Source organism: Homo sapiens, chromosome 11, assembly GCF_000001405.40.
Source record: "Homo sapiens chromosome 11, GRCh38.p14 Primary Assembly".
Classification (NCBI taxonomy): Eukaryota; Metazoa; Chordata; class Mammalia; order Primates; family Hominidae; genus Homo; species Homo sapiens.
In genome coordinates this window covers 30,045,439-30,060,000 of record NC_000011.10, presented here as the reverse complement: position 1 = coordinate 30,060,000, position 14,562 = coordinate 30,045,439, and the positions used below count along the sequence as shown (strand labels likewise).

The following is a 14,562-nucleotide window of genomic DNA, read 5'->3' as shown; positions in this document are numbered from 1 at the left end:
CATAAAAGAATGTAAGGAGACAATTTGAATTTATTGAGTATACACAGCTATTTTAAAGAATGAAGCTTCTCTGGGACTGAAAACTGGGTGAAGAAATTAAAATGCCAGTAAGGGTCACTTTACCTAACTGGCTGCTTATAGTGCTTCTCTCTTGGCTATCTGTATCCTCTTCATTCCGGTAAGATTTTGGAATTTTCCAAATACTATCATATATGTTATGTGATTTGACTATTACAAAAACCCTACTATGATGGAAGGGAAGTGATAATTATTACCTCAACTTTGCAGATGAGGAAATGAGAGTCACTTCACTGGAGGTGAAGTGCCTTACATAGAGTCCCCTGAAAGAATGGTCTTGGCTGCAGGCCTTTTAACATCATCCTACTAAAAAGCTGGCCATCATTTTCAGGTTGACAACACTGCAGCAGCCTCCTATTACGTGAGGATTAGATTCAAAATTTGGTACTTATGACTAAATTTGAGTAAGGCCAAAATTACTTTTAAAAATCCCCTATAATCACCAGCAGGATATGGCTTATTTGAAGTCAAAAGCCAACAACTAAGATTTTTTTCTTAAAGTTGTTTTTGCATATATCTAATTCAAGTAAGTTAAGTGCATCTATGATGAGACCTCACTGAATTTCAGTAACAATGTTTGAAACCCACAGAAACTATATTACCTAATAATCTGTAAACTCCCTGAATTTCCCTTCTAGAATCATTATTCTCTACCTAAATGAACCTCCACTGTTCTAAATTTTGGGGAAGTCTTTTTTTTAAATTATTATTATACTTTAAGTTTTAGAGTACATGTGTACAACGTGCAGGTTTGTTACATATGTATACATGTGCTATGTTGGTGTGCTGCACCCATTAACTCGTCATTTAGCATTAGGTATATCTCCTAATGCTATCCCTCCTCCCTCCCCCCACCCCAAAACAGTCCCCAGTGTGTGATGTTCCCCTTCCTGTGTCCATGTGATCTCATTGTTCAATTCCCACCTCTGAGTGAGAACATGTGGTGTTTGGTTTTTTGTCCTTGTGATAGTTTGCTGAGAATGATGGTTTCCAATTTCATCCATGTCCCTACAAAGGACATGAACTCATCATTTTTTGTGGCTGCATAGTATTCCATGATGTATATGTGCCACATTTTCTTAATCCAGTCTATCTTTGTTGGACATTTGGGTTGGTTCCAAGTCTTTGCTATTGTGAATAGTGCCGCAATAAACATACGTGTGCATGTGTCTTTATAGCAGCATGATTTATAATCCTTTGGGTATATACCCAGTAATGGGATGGCTGGGTCAAATGGTATTTCTAGTTCTAGATCCCTGAGGAATCGCCACACTGACTTCCACAATGGTTGAACTAGTTTACAGTCCCACCAACAGTATAAAAGTGTTCCTATTTCTCCACATCCTCTCCAGCACCTGTTGTTTCCTGACTTTTTAATAATTGCCATTCTAACTGGTGTGAGATGGTATCTCATTGTGGTTTTGATTTGCATTTCTCTGATGGCCAGTGATGATGAGCATTTTTTCATGTGTTTTTTGGCTGCGTAAATGTCTTCTTTTGAGAAGTGTCTGTTCATATCCTTTGCCCACTTTTTGATGGGGTTGTTTGTTTTTTTCCTGTAAATATGTTTGAGTTCATTGTAGATTCTGGATATTAGCCCTTTGTCAGATGAGCAGATTGCAAAAATTTTCTCCCATACTGTAGGTTGCCTGTTCACTCTGATGGTGGTTTCTTTTGCTGTGCAGAAGCTCTTTAGTTTAATTAGATCCCATTTGTCAATTTTGGCTTTTGTTGCCATTGCTTTTGGTGTTTTAGACATGAAGTCCTTGCCCATGCCTGAACGGTATTGCCTAGGTTTTCTTCTAGAGTTTTTATGGTTTTAGGTCTAACATGTAAGTCTTTAATCCATTTTGAATTAATTTTTGAATGAGGTGTAAGGAAGGGATCCAGTTTCAGCTTTCTACATATGGCTAGCCAGTTTTCCCAGCACCATTTATTAAATAGGGAATCCTTTCAAATTTTGGGGAAGTCTTAAGGGCTCTAGGATTCAGTGCTTGGGGGCATCAAGAAGGTCCATTATGATAAAGAGCTAAGAAATGACCCTACCATCTTAGCTTTGTTGCTAAACAACTCTTCACAGCGCAATTTTTTCTGTTATTGTATTTGGACTTCAGCTAACCCATGTACTTTCTGGGAACTTTAACAGGTCTTTGAACATACAGAGTAAAAGCAAAGGATTCACATATTGATCCCTTGCTGTTACAAATTCAATGGTAGGAAATCTGCCATCTGCCTTAGTTTCAGGTATCTGACGTCTTAGGGATGAGTAAGACAGCTTGGAACAATTGCAAATGAAATAAGACCCCCAATTCCACTTTGCTATCAAGGAGCTGTAAGAAATGGGAGTTCAAGGACTTTACTTTCAATGTTTCTAATTTTTTGTAACATTCTAGTATCTATGCCATTTTGAATCTTAAGTTATACTATAGGAATTTATGAAAACTTTTAGTCTAAAAGACATTGCTAACATGATCAAGGGCTTAAAACCAAGCACATTTCCAAGAAATCCAAGCTATTTCTAAAGGAATAGTCTACTGAATTGTTGAAATAAAACAACTAGAAAAGTAATTAAATTAACAGGATTTTAACTTTGGAGTTTAACCTTAATTTTTTTTAAGTTTAAAATTGAATGATGTATTGGGTTAGGATAGGTTTGCAAAGAGCACCGATTGAAAAATACCCAGGTTTGGGGGAGGAGCCAAGATGGCCGAATAGGAACAGCTCCGGTCTACAGCTCCCAGCCTGAGCGAGGCAGAAGACGGGTGATTTCTCCATTTCCATCTGAGGTACCAGGTTCATCTCACTAGGGAGTGCCAGACAGTGGGCGCAGGTCAGTGGGTGTGCGCACCGTGTGCGAGCCGAAGCAGGGCGAGGCATTGCCTCACTCGGGAAGCACAAGGGGTCAGGGAGTTCCCTTTCCTAATCAAAGAAAGGGGTGATGGATGGCACCTGGAAAATCGGGTCACTCCCACCCGAATACTGCTCTTTTCCGACCAGCTTAAAAAACGGCGCACCACGAGATTATATCCCACACCTGGCTGGGAGGGTCCTACGCCCACGGAGTCTCGCTGATTGGTAGCACAGCAGTCTGAGATCAAACTGCAAGGCGGCAGCGAGGCTGGGGGAGGGGCGCCCACCATTGCCCAGGCTTGCTTAGGTAAACAAAGCAGCTGGGAAGCTCGAACTGGGTGGAGCCCACCACAGCTCAAGGAGGCCTGCCTGCCTCTGTAGGCTCCACCTCTGGGGGCAGGGCACAGACAAACAAAAAGACAGCAGTAACCTCTGCAGACTTAAATGTCCCTGTCTGACAGCTTTGAAGAGAGCAGTGGTTCTCCCACTATGCAGCTGGAGATCTGAGAACGGGCAGACTGCCTCCTCAAGTGGGTCCCTGACTCCTGACCCCCGAGCAGCCTAACTGGGAGGCACCCCCCAGCAGGGACACACTGACATCTCACACTGCAGGGTACTCCAACAGACCTGCAGCTGAGGGTCCTGTCTGTTAGAAGGAAAACTAACAAACAGAAAGGACATCCACACCAAAAACCCATCTGTACATCACCATCATCAAAGACCAAAAGTAGATAAAACCACAAAGATGGGGAAAAAAACAGAATAGAAAAACTGGAAACTCTAAAAAGCAGAGTGCCTCTCCTCCTCCAAAGGAACGCAGCTCCTCACCAGCAACGGAACAAAGCTGGACGGAGAATGACTTTGACGAGCTGAGAGAAGAAGGCTTCAGATGATCAAATTACTCTGAGCTAGGGAGGACATTCAAACCAAAGGCAAAGAAGTTGAAAACTTTGAAAAAAATTTAGAAGAATGTATAACTAGAATAACCAATACAGAGAAGTGCTTAAAGGAGCTGATGGAGCTGAAAACCAAGGCTCGAGAACTACGTGAAGAATGCAGAAGCCTCAGGAGCCAATGCGATCAACTGGAAGAAAGGGTATCAGCAATGGAAGATGAAATGAATGAAATGAAGCGAGAAGGGAAGTTTAGAGAAAAAAGAATAAAAATAAACGAGCAAAGCCTCCAAGAAATATGGGACTATGTGAAAAGACCAAATCTACGTCTGATTGGTATACCTGAAAGTGATGGGGAGAATGGAACCAAGTTGGAAAACACTCTGCAGGATATTATCCAGGAGAACTTCTGCAATCTAGCAAGGCAGGCCAACGTTCAGATTCAGGAAATACAGAGAACACCACAAAGATACACCTCGAGAAGAGCAACTCCAAGACACATAATTGTGAGATTCACCAAAGTTGAAATGAAGGAAAAAATGTTAAGGGCAGCCAGAGAGAAAGGTCGGATTACCCTCAAAGGGAAGCCCATCAGACTAACAGCGGATCTCTCAGCAGAAACCCTACAAGCCAGAAGAGAGTAGGGGCCAATATTCAACATTCTTAAAGAAAAGAATTTTCAACCCAGAATTTCATATCCAGCCAAACTAAGCTTCATAAGTGAAGGAGAAATAAAATACTTTACAGACAAGCAAATGCTGAGAGATTTTGGCACCACCAGGCCTGCCCTAAAAGAGCTACTGAAGGAAGCACTAAACATGGAAAGGAACAACCGGTACCAGCCACTGCAAAATCATGCCAAAATATAAAGACCATCGAGACTAGGAAGAAACTGCATCAACTATCAAGCAAAATAACCAGCTAACATCATAATGACAGGATCAAATTCACACATAACACTATTAACTTTAAATGTAAATGGACTAAGTGCTCCAATTAAAAGACACAGACTGGCAAATTGGATAAAGAGTCAAGACCCATCAGCGTGCTGTATTCAGGAAACCCATCTCGCGTGCAGACACACACATAGGCTCAAAATAAAAGGATGGAGGAAGATCTACCAAGCAAATGGAAAACAAAAAAAGGCAGGGGTTGCAATCCTAGTCTCTGATAAAACAGACTTTAAACCAACAAAGATCAAAAGAGACAAAGAAGGCCATTACATAATGTTAAAGGGATCAATTCAACAAGAAGAGCTAACTGTCCTAAATATATATGCACCCAATACAGGAGCACCCAGATGCATAAAGCAAGTCCTGAGTGACGTACAAAGAGACTTAGACTCCAACACATTAATAATGGGAGACTTTAACACCCCACTGTCAACATTAGACAGATCAACGAGACAGAAAGTCAACAAGGATACCCAGGAATTGAACTCAGCTCTGCACCAGGCGGACCTAATAGACATCTACAGAACTCTCCACCCCAAATCAACAGAATATACATTTTTTTCAGCACCACACCACACCTATTCCAAAATTGACCACATACTTGGAAGTAAAGCTCTCCTCAGCAAATGTAAAAGAACAGAAATTATAACAAACTCTCTCTCAGACCACAGTGCAATCAAACTAGAACTCAGGATTAAGAATCTCACTCAAAACCGCTCAACTACATGGAAACTGAACAACCTGCTCCTGAATGACTACTGGGTACATAACGAAATGAAGGCAGAAATAAAGATGTTCTTTGAAACCAAGGAGAACAAAGACACAACATACCAGAATCTCTGGGACGCATTCAAAGCAGTGTGTAGAGGGAAATTTATAGCACTAAATGCCTACAAGAGAAAGCAGGAAAGATCAAAAATTGACACTCTAACATCACAATTAAAAGAACTAGAAAAGCAAGAGCAAACACATTCAAAAGGTAGCAGAAGGCAAGAAATAACTAAAATCAGAGCAGAACCGAAGGAAATAGAGACACAAAAAACCCTTCAAAAAATTAATGAATCCAGAAGCTGGTTTTTTGAAAGGATCAACAAAATTGATAGACCGCTAGCAAGACTAATAAAGAAAAAAAGAGAGAAGAATCAAATAGACGCAATAAAAAATGATAAAGGGGATATCATCACCGATCCCACAGAAATACAAACTACCATCAGAGAATACTACAAACACCTCTACACAAATAAACTAGAAAATCTAGAAGAAATGGATAAATTCCTCGACACATACACTCTCCCAAGACTAAACCAGGAAGAAGTTGAATCTCTGAATAGACCAATAACAGGATCTGAAATTGTGGCAATAATCAATAGCTTACCAACCAAAAAGAGTCCAGGACCAGATGGATTCACAGCTGAATTCTACCAGAGGTACAAGGAGGAAATGGTACCATTCCTTCTGAAACTATTCCAATCAATACAAAAAGAGGAAATCCTCCCTAACTCATTTTATGAGGCCAGCATCGTTCTGATACCGAAGCCGGGCAGAGACACAACCAAAAAAGAGAATTTTAGACCAATATCCTTGATGAACATTGATGCAAAAATCCTCAGTAAAATATGGGCAAAATGAATCCAGCAGCACATCAAAAAGCCTATCCACCATGATCAAGTGGGCTTCATCCCTGGGATGCAAGGCTGGTTCAATATACACAAATCAATAAATGTAATCCAGCATATAAACAGAGCCAAAGACAAAAACCACATGATTATCTCAATAGATGCAGAAAAGGCCTTTGACAAAATTCAACAACCCTTCATGCTAAAAACTCTCAATAAATTAGGTATTGATGGGACATATTTCAAAATAATAAGAGCTATCTATGACAAACCCACAGTCAATATCATACTGAATGGGCAAAAACTGGAAGCATTCCCTTTGAAAACTGGCACAAGACAGGGATGCCCTCTCTCACCACTCCTATTCAACATAGTGTTGGAAGTTCTGGCCAGAGCAATAAGGCAGGAGAAGGAAATAAAGGGTATTCAATTAGGAAAAGAGGAAGTCAAATTGTCCCTGTTTGCAGATGACATGATTGTATATCTAGAAAACCCCATTGTCTCAGCCCAAAATCTCCTTAAGCTGATAAGCAACTTCAGCAAAGTCTCAGGATACAAAATCAATGTGCAAAAATCACAAGCATTCCTATACACCAACAACAGACAAACAGAGAGCCAAATCATGAGTGAACTCCCATTCACAATTGCTTCAAAGAGAATAAAATACCTAGGTATCCAATTTACAAGGGATGTGAAGGACCTCTTCAAGGAGAACTACAAACCTGCTCAAGGAAATAAAAGAGGATACAAACAAATGGAAGAACATTCCATGCTCATGGGTAGGAAGAATCAATATCGTGAAAATGGCCATACTGCCCAAGGTAATTTATAGATTCAATGCCATCCCCATCAAGCTACCAATGCCTTTCTTCACACAATTGGAAAAAACGACTTTAAAGTTCATATGGAACCAAAAAAGAGCCCGCATCGCCAAGTCAATCCTAAGCCAAAAGAACAAAGCTGGAGGCATCAGACTACCTGACTTCAAACTACACTACAAGGCCACAGTAACCAAAACAGCATGGTACTGGTACCAAAACAGAGATATAGATCAATGGAACAGAACAGAGCCCTCAGAAAGAACGCCGCATATCTACAACTAGCTGATCTTTGACAAACCTGAGAAAAACAAGCAATGGGGAAAGGATTCCCTATTTAATAAATGGTGCTGGGAAAACTGGCTGGCCATATGTAGAAAGCTGAAACTGGATCCCTTCCTTACACCTTATACAAAAATCAATTCAAGATGGACTAAAGACTTAAACGTTAGACCTAAAAGTATAAAAACCCTAGAAGAAAACCTAGGCATTACCATTCAGGACATAGGCATGGGCAAGGACTTCATGTCTAAAACACCAAAAGCAATGGCAACAAAAGCCAAAATTGTCAAATGGGATATAATTAAACTAAAGAGCTTCTGCACAGCAAAAGAAACTACCATCAGAGTGAACAGGCAACCTACAAAATGGGAGAAAATTTTTGCAACCTACTCATCTGACAAAGGGCTAATATCCAGAATCTACAATGAACTCAAACAAATTTACAAGAAAAAAACAAACAACCCCATCAAAAAGTGGGCAAAGGACATGAACAGACACTTCTCAAAAGAAGACATTTATGCAGCCAAAAAACACATGAAAAAATGCTCATCATCACTGGCCGTCAGAGAAATGCAAATCAAAACCATAATGAGATACCATCTCACACCAGTTAGAATGGCAATCATTAAAAAGTCAGGAAACAACAGGTGCTGGAGAGGATGTGGAGAAATAGGAACACTTTTACACTGTTGGTGGGACTGTAAACTAGTTCAACCATTGTGGAAGTCAGTGTGGCGATTCCTCAGGGATCTAGAACTAGAAATACCATTTGACCCAGCCATCCCATTACTGGGTATATACCCAAAGGACTATAAATCATGCTGCTATAAAGACACATGCACACCTATGTTTATTGCAGCACTACTCACAATAGCAAAGACTTGGAACCAACCCAAATGTCCAACAATGATAGACTGGATTAAGAAAATGTGGCACATATACACCATGGAATACTATGCAGCCATAAAAAATGATGAGTTCATGTCCTTTGTAGGGACATGGATGAAATTGGAAATCATCATTCTCAGTAAACTATCGCAAGAACAAAAAACCAAACACCGCATATTCTCACTGATAGGTGGGAATTGAACAATGAGATCACATGGACACAGGAAGAGGAACATCACACTCTGGCTGTTGTGGGGTGGGGGGAGGGGGGAGGGATAGCATTGGGAGATATACCTAATGCTAGATGACAAGTTAGTGGGTGCAGCGTACCAGCATGGCACATGTATATGTATGTAACTAACCTGCACAATGTGCACATGTACCCTAAAACTTAAAGTATAATAATAAAAAAAAATTAAAAAAAGAAAAAAAAAAAGAAAAAAAAAGAAAAATACCCAGGTTTTGCCACTTACTGGTAATTTACTTAAACGTGCAGAACTTAGCCTCTTGTTCTTCTTTTCCATCTTCTCTTTCTTCCACTGGTATGAGGCTAGCAATCTAGCAGGAAATATTAAATTGTGATTTTTTGTCTCCCACATTTACCTTCCCCCTCATTTTAAAGTCACAGCTATGCTTTGTAATTTCTTGCCTCTGGAATGTTTGTAATGTATTCCATAGAAAGCAGAAGCTTTGATAATTCTCTTTCTGTTCTGTTGAGCTTTATTTTTTTTCAGGATTTTAAGGCCATGAAAGATTATGCTAGCATTCTGAAACACAGAGAGTTGGGAGCAGATGCATGAATCAGAAATAAGCTGAGCAGGGAGGGAAGCTTCTAAGAAATTGGAAAAACAGGAAAGTTTATGCCTTCTTAGAAGAGAGGATACCTGTGCTCAGGGATTATGTTGCAATGATGTCGAGATCTAAGAGAGAAATGGCTGCCATCTCCTAGGTCTCCCCGCCCTGCCTAAAGGTCACATGCCTCAAGCCTCACAGGAAAGCAGCAGAGCAACTTCTCCTGAAGTGACCATGTGAACTGAGATGATCACGGGTGTCTGAACTGGCATCAGTATGGATGAGTGATCACCAGATGGGCCTCTCCAAAGTCTTAGTGCTATTTTGATCCTGGTGTTTTACACAACTCTGGGGTAAAGGGTGGGGAATGCTGCAACAATAACAGGTTAGATCACCTTTCAACCCAGGAAGCTGGGGACCACAGTCAGTATTAGGTTGACTGAAAATAAATTTTAATGTGAAATTTCTTGCATGCCTGATGTTGTGGGCTGAGAATCTGACAAGTAATATATACTGATTTCCTCCATCCCTCCATTCTTTCCTTCCTTTCTCCTTTCCTCAGTCCCTCTCTTTCTCTTTCTCCCCCTCTCCCCTTTTCTTCCTTCTTGGTATCTTTCTGTAGTTGATCTGAATCATAATTATTGCTGACTCTCTGGACTGACTAGCTTAATGGATTGGGGCATGATGTCAATGGAGCAGTGATCCCACTTCTGTTTAGTCATTGTTCAGCAAGCTTTGAACAGAAGAAAGAACTACTCAATGACTAAAGCTCATTCTTCTTTTCTTCAGCAGTCAAAAAAAAAAAAAGTCCCACAAATAGGAATCGATTGCTCAAAGAGAATTTTACAATATGCATTACTAAGACTTAAAGAGATATGTCCCACAGGGCCTGACCAATCAGAGCATTGTATCTGCTCAAGACAGTCACTGGTTCAAAGATGACAACAAGACATAGGTCACTGCTTCGAAAGTTCAGGAAAGAACTTTTCAGTAGGATCTCTGGCTCTAAGTATGACTTACGCCTAGAATTGACAGTTGTCATTTTTGCCACCACATGAGAACTTATCTAAAAAGTGAAGACATTGAGTCTCTGAATCCAGCCTATTTTAAGTTTTATAATCTCCTGAATTTCTTATGTACATTAGCCAATATAAATTACCTCCTCCACTTTTTTCCTTAAACTATTTTGAGTTGGGCTTCTGTCACTTGCTTTCAAAAGTACCTGATTAATACAGAAATCACGTCAAGTCAGGGAATAACTGTAATCTATAAGGGAAAAGCCAGGATCCCAGAAGGAATTCAAAGCATTTGTAGCAAAAAGAATGGTCATAGTAATCATATATTTTAAATAATATTAACTCTATTTCTCAGTATCATGTCTACCCTTGTTTACTTGTAAAGCCTTCCAATAGGGGTCACTCTATAAGAACAGAATGGTGTTTCCTCTGCTCTTCTGCAAGTTTTGTAATTTCTGAAACAGGAATTATTTCCAAGTAGAAGGCTGCTGTGAACCCACAATGGCTTTCATGGAAGATAATAAGTTTGTATCAATTTACAGTTGTAAGCAGAAGAAGCTTTTGTCTGTTAAGGCGTGTTCATTAAAAGTTACAGAACATTATATAACACTACAGAAAGCCTAGATAAAGAAGAAGGGCTACAATATCTGCCAAAGATGTTGCCCGTGCTGTGGATTCTTTTACCTGAGAGAAACGACATTTGGTTCATTTACTGATCTTGTTGGATGACTGACTGCATTAAACCAACATATGCCAATTCATCACCAAAGCCAATTTCTTGCCACTGGGTCATAGAATAGGTGATATTATTTTATATTATGAGGCAGAACCGTGATAGGTCCTTTTTCTTGTAAGTGCTAGCAAAATAATAAATTTACCCTGTACCATTTTGGGATTAAAGAAGGAAGGTGTTCTGCTTACTTAGAAGAAAATCAAAATTATTCTTGCTCATGATGACTATGCTTTTTTTTCTGATAAAGAAAAAAAGCAGAAAAAAATGTTAATCTTTAAAACCTAGTGCATTTTGGGGTTTTGTGGGTTTTTTTTTTTTTTGGCTTTTGTTATTTGCATCATTATATCAAGTAACAGCAGGTAGGTCAGGTAAGTTTAAGCAAAAAAGGGAAAGTCATTAGAAGGTTTAGAAATAGAGAATGGACACCCAGTTGCAAGAAAGTCAGCGATGCTTTCGGACCTCAAAAATAATTGACACCAGAGATGAGAATTTGAATTTTATCAAATGCTTTTATTAAATGTGTTAATAATAATTCTGTCTTTTTTCTTGTCATCTGGATGATTTATATTAATAGACATGTATTAGGGTAGGCTAACTTCTACAACAAACAGAATCAAATAGCACAACCATTCAAAAGTTTATTGTTGAGACAGAATTAGAGATGAGTAGGTTAACAAGGCAGTCTTCCTCCACATAATCATTCAGAGACCCAGACTGACAGTCTCTACCATCTTTGAAATATAGCTCCTGTTGTCTTCAGCAAACTAACACAGGAACGGAAAACCAAACACCCCATGTTCTCATTTATAAGTGGGAGCTGAATGACGAGAATACATGGACACATGGGGGGAACAACACACACTGGGGCTTGTTGGCGGGGTGGTTGGAGGGAGGAAGAGCATCAGGAAAAATAGCTAATGGTTGCTGGGCTTAATACCTAGGTGATGGGATGATTTGTGCAGCAGTCCACCATGGCACATGTTTACGTATGTAACAAACCTGCACATCCTGCACATGACCCCTAAACTTAAAATAAAAGTTGAAGATAAAAAATAGCTCCAAGATCTTGGTATCATTTCTATTCCAACCACTTCAAAGGGAATAAGGGCATGCAGCAGTTCTTTGCAAGATGTACGTTGAAGATGCTAGTTTTGCTTACATTCTACTGGCTAAAATGTAATCATATAGCCACATCCAGTTGCAAGAATAGCTGGGAAATGTAGTTTCAGTTTGGGTAGCTGATTTCCAGCAGCAAATAATATACCACAGATAATGGGACAAGAATTCTTAGTGGACAGCTGGTTATCTCTACCATAATGTCCTAATATAGACACACCTTTGACTTTCAGGGATGAAACACACTTGGTTATAATGTATTATTCTTTTAAGGTCTTATATATATAAAAACTGGCATTACTATTCATAAGTGAGTAAGCTTGTAGTTTTATTTTTCTATGCTAAATATTTTATATTTAGTTATTTGTATGCTTTTGGCTTTATTTTAAAAAATTGAGGGAAATTCTGGAAAAGTATAAAAATTATTTCTTTAAGCTTTACAAAAATTTACCCATGAAATATCATGCCTAAGTTCTTTTAGTAAGTAATTTTTTTAAACAAATTTCATCATTGTCAGGTTCACGACTACACCAAACATCATGCTAAGGGTCAGGTTCCAGCCCCAGCTAAGGGCCGAGGGAAGTGGGTGTATGTGGCGCAGGGAGCTGGAAGAACACGCAAGAGACAGTAGGTAAATGAGACATGGCTTGATTCAGCATCCCCTTCACAGGGTCAGTGTTACATTTATACACCACACAAACAATAGTGGCTGAGAGCCAGACGGTGAGCTTCTCCATGTTATGTCTACATGGCTATGATTATATAAGACATGGGACTGGTAACGGGTATGTCCACGCAGTACTGGCTTTACTACCCAAACCGAGTCCGAATTCTCCGGCCCTGGTGTGTAAGTCCAGACCATGCAAAATGTCCACCCCCGGAATATGTTCAGGTAAAGGAGAAACATACACAGTATACAGGCACGGAGCCAAGTGGCCATTGCTAAGATGCAGAGACACAGGTTTCACTTTCACCAACTGGCCCCCATAACCATCAATGAATGCAGCTTTGCCCGGAAACTTACCCGGATTTCCATAAACAAAGCTGCAGTCTGCACCACTATCTACCAGTGCTAGGACCCACTGTACATTGGTGGGAGGCCAATGGATTGCCAGTTCCACACGTGGCCTCTGCTGGGCACCTTGGCCAGTTCCCTGTCAAAGGAAGGGTCTGGTCTCTTTGGCCGTCAGCAAACAGTCCTTGAGTACAGCATCTGGGTGGGGCTGGGTTGATCAAGAGTATTTTGCCCCCTTTCGGACATTTTCTGGAATTGCTGCTCTGCGGACAGTTGCCTCCACAGAGCCAACGGCATCCCATTGGGTTGCCTGTCAGTTTTCTCCCAAGCAACCCCAGCTGCAATTAAATCAATCCACATCTGCACATGGGTCACCCGCTGGGGCCCCTGTTGATCTCCTGGGGTGGTTACCTGCAGAGGGGACACCTTCCCCTTCTTTATCGCATGGGTTCCCCAGTCCTGCCAAAGGCCTTCTGCTTCCCTGAGGGCTGCCATAGCAGTAGTCACTTCATGTATGTGGCACCCCACATACGGAGTGAACAGCAGCTAGAGAGCCAAAAGCACTCAGGGGCGCTGAGCCCAGCACAAGATCCCTCATGTGGGAGGTAAAATGTTCATCATTCAGCCCCTGGGTATTCAGATCAAACATAGCCTGCCACATACCCATCTCCTGGAGTACCTGCACCAAATCAGTATATGATTGCCATTTACTCACAATTTCTATTATCTCTGCAGCATCATTCCAAACAGTCCGTATGGCTGCCATCAGCCACTCAATTAACATGTGGTCACCTTGCCCTTGTGCCAACTGTCAGCACAGCTGCAGCTGCTGATAAAGGGAGGGGCGAGTTGTGATAGAAGCCAGCTTCTCCATCTCAGAAGTGTAGCAAGAAAACCTCATCCCAAAGATGGAGTAACTAGGCTGGGAGGCGCTCCCCTGGGTGCTGCCTGCATTGCTTACCTAACTCCTGCAACTCAGTGGGGGTATAAGCACTATAAGAGGTGTGTTTCACCACTGTGGGGGAGTCCCTGGGCTCTCCCCTGGGGTCCCATCAGCTGCTCATCTTCTACCTTCTGACGGATCACAGGATGAGCCCATAGCAGAGGAGCCTCCTCTTCCTCCTCAGCAACAGCATCAGACTGAGTGGGAGTGTCCCGCCTGGAGGTTGGGCTCAAAGTCTCGCTGACAACTGTTTCTGACTCCAGGCTGTTTATCTGGGTCTCTAAGCACCCTGCTTGCACCTGGAGGTCCTTCACCCCAAGGTTTTGCTCCAAGCTGTGCATTTGGGTCCCTGGGTGCTCAACTTGTGCCTGGAGGTCCCTTACCTGTGCTATCTCCCACAGGGACTGAGCATGTACTTCGCGTAGTGCAGTCAGAAACGCCCATCTGACTCTGCTGGCGAAGGTGTGCTCCTTGGTGCTGTGAGCTTCCAGCTGCTTCAGTGCCTTCTCCACACTTGCTGGAGACCTGTCCACTGCCTCTCATGTTTCCACTGGGGCTCTTCCAAGCAG

At 41.2% G+C, this 14,562-nt stretch overlaps 1 long non-coding RNA gene across 7 annotated transcripts in view, besides 2 other annotated features; it reads left to right on the top strand.

Moving 5' to 3' along the window:
- ARL14EP-DT (ARL14EP divergent transcript) overlaps positions 1–14,562 on the top strand; it is a 279,977-nt gene that overhangs the window by 262,946 nt on the left and 2,469 nt on the right. The window lies entirely within an intron of this gene.
- Positions 2,430–3,131: an enhancer, noted in NCBI's record as "H3K27ac-H3K4me1 hESC enhancer chr11:30078417-30079118 (GRCh37/hg19 assembly coordinates)". NCBI's record gives its function as "activates a minimal SCP1, AML or CMV promoter by ChIP-STARR-seq in naive H9 embryonic stem cells {active_cell/tissue: H9 hESC(naive)}" and the evidence as "EXISTENCE:reporter gene assay evidence [ECO:0000049][PMID:30033119]".
- Positions 3,132–3,835: an enhancer, noted in NCBI's record as "H3K27ac-H3K4me1 hESC enhancer chr11:30077713-30078416 (GRCh37/hg19 assembly coordinates)". NCBI's record gives its function as "activates a minimal SCP1, AML or CMV promoter by ChIP-STARR-seq in naive H9 embryonic stem cells {active_cell/tissue: H9 hESC(naive)}" and the evidence as "EXISTENCE:reporter gene assay evidence [ECO:0000049][PMID:30033119]".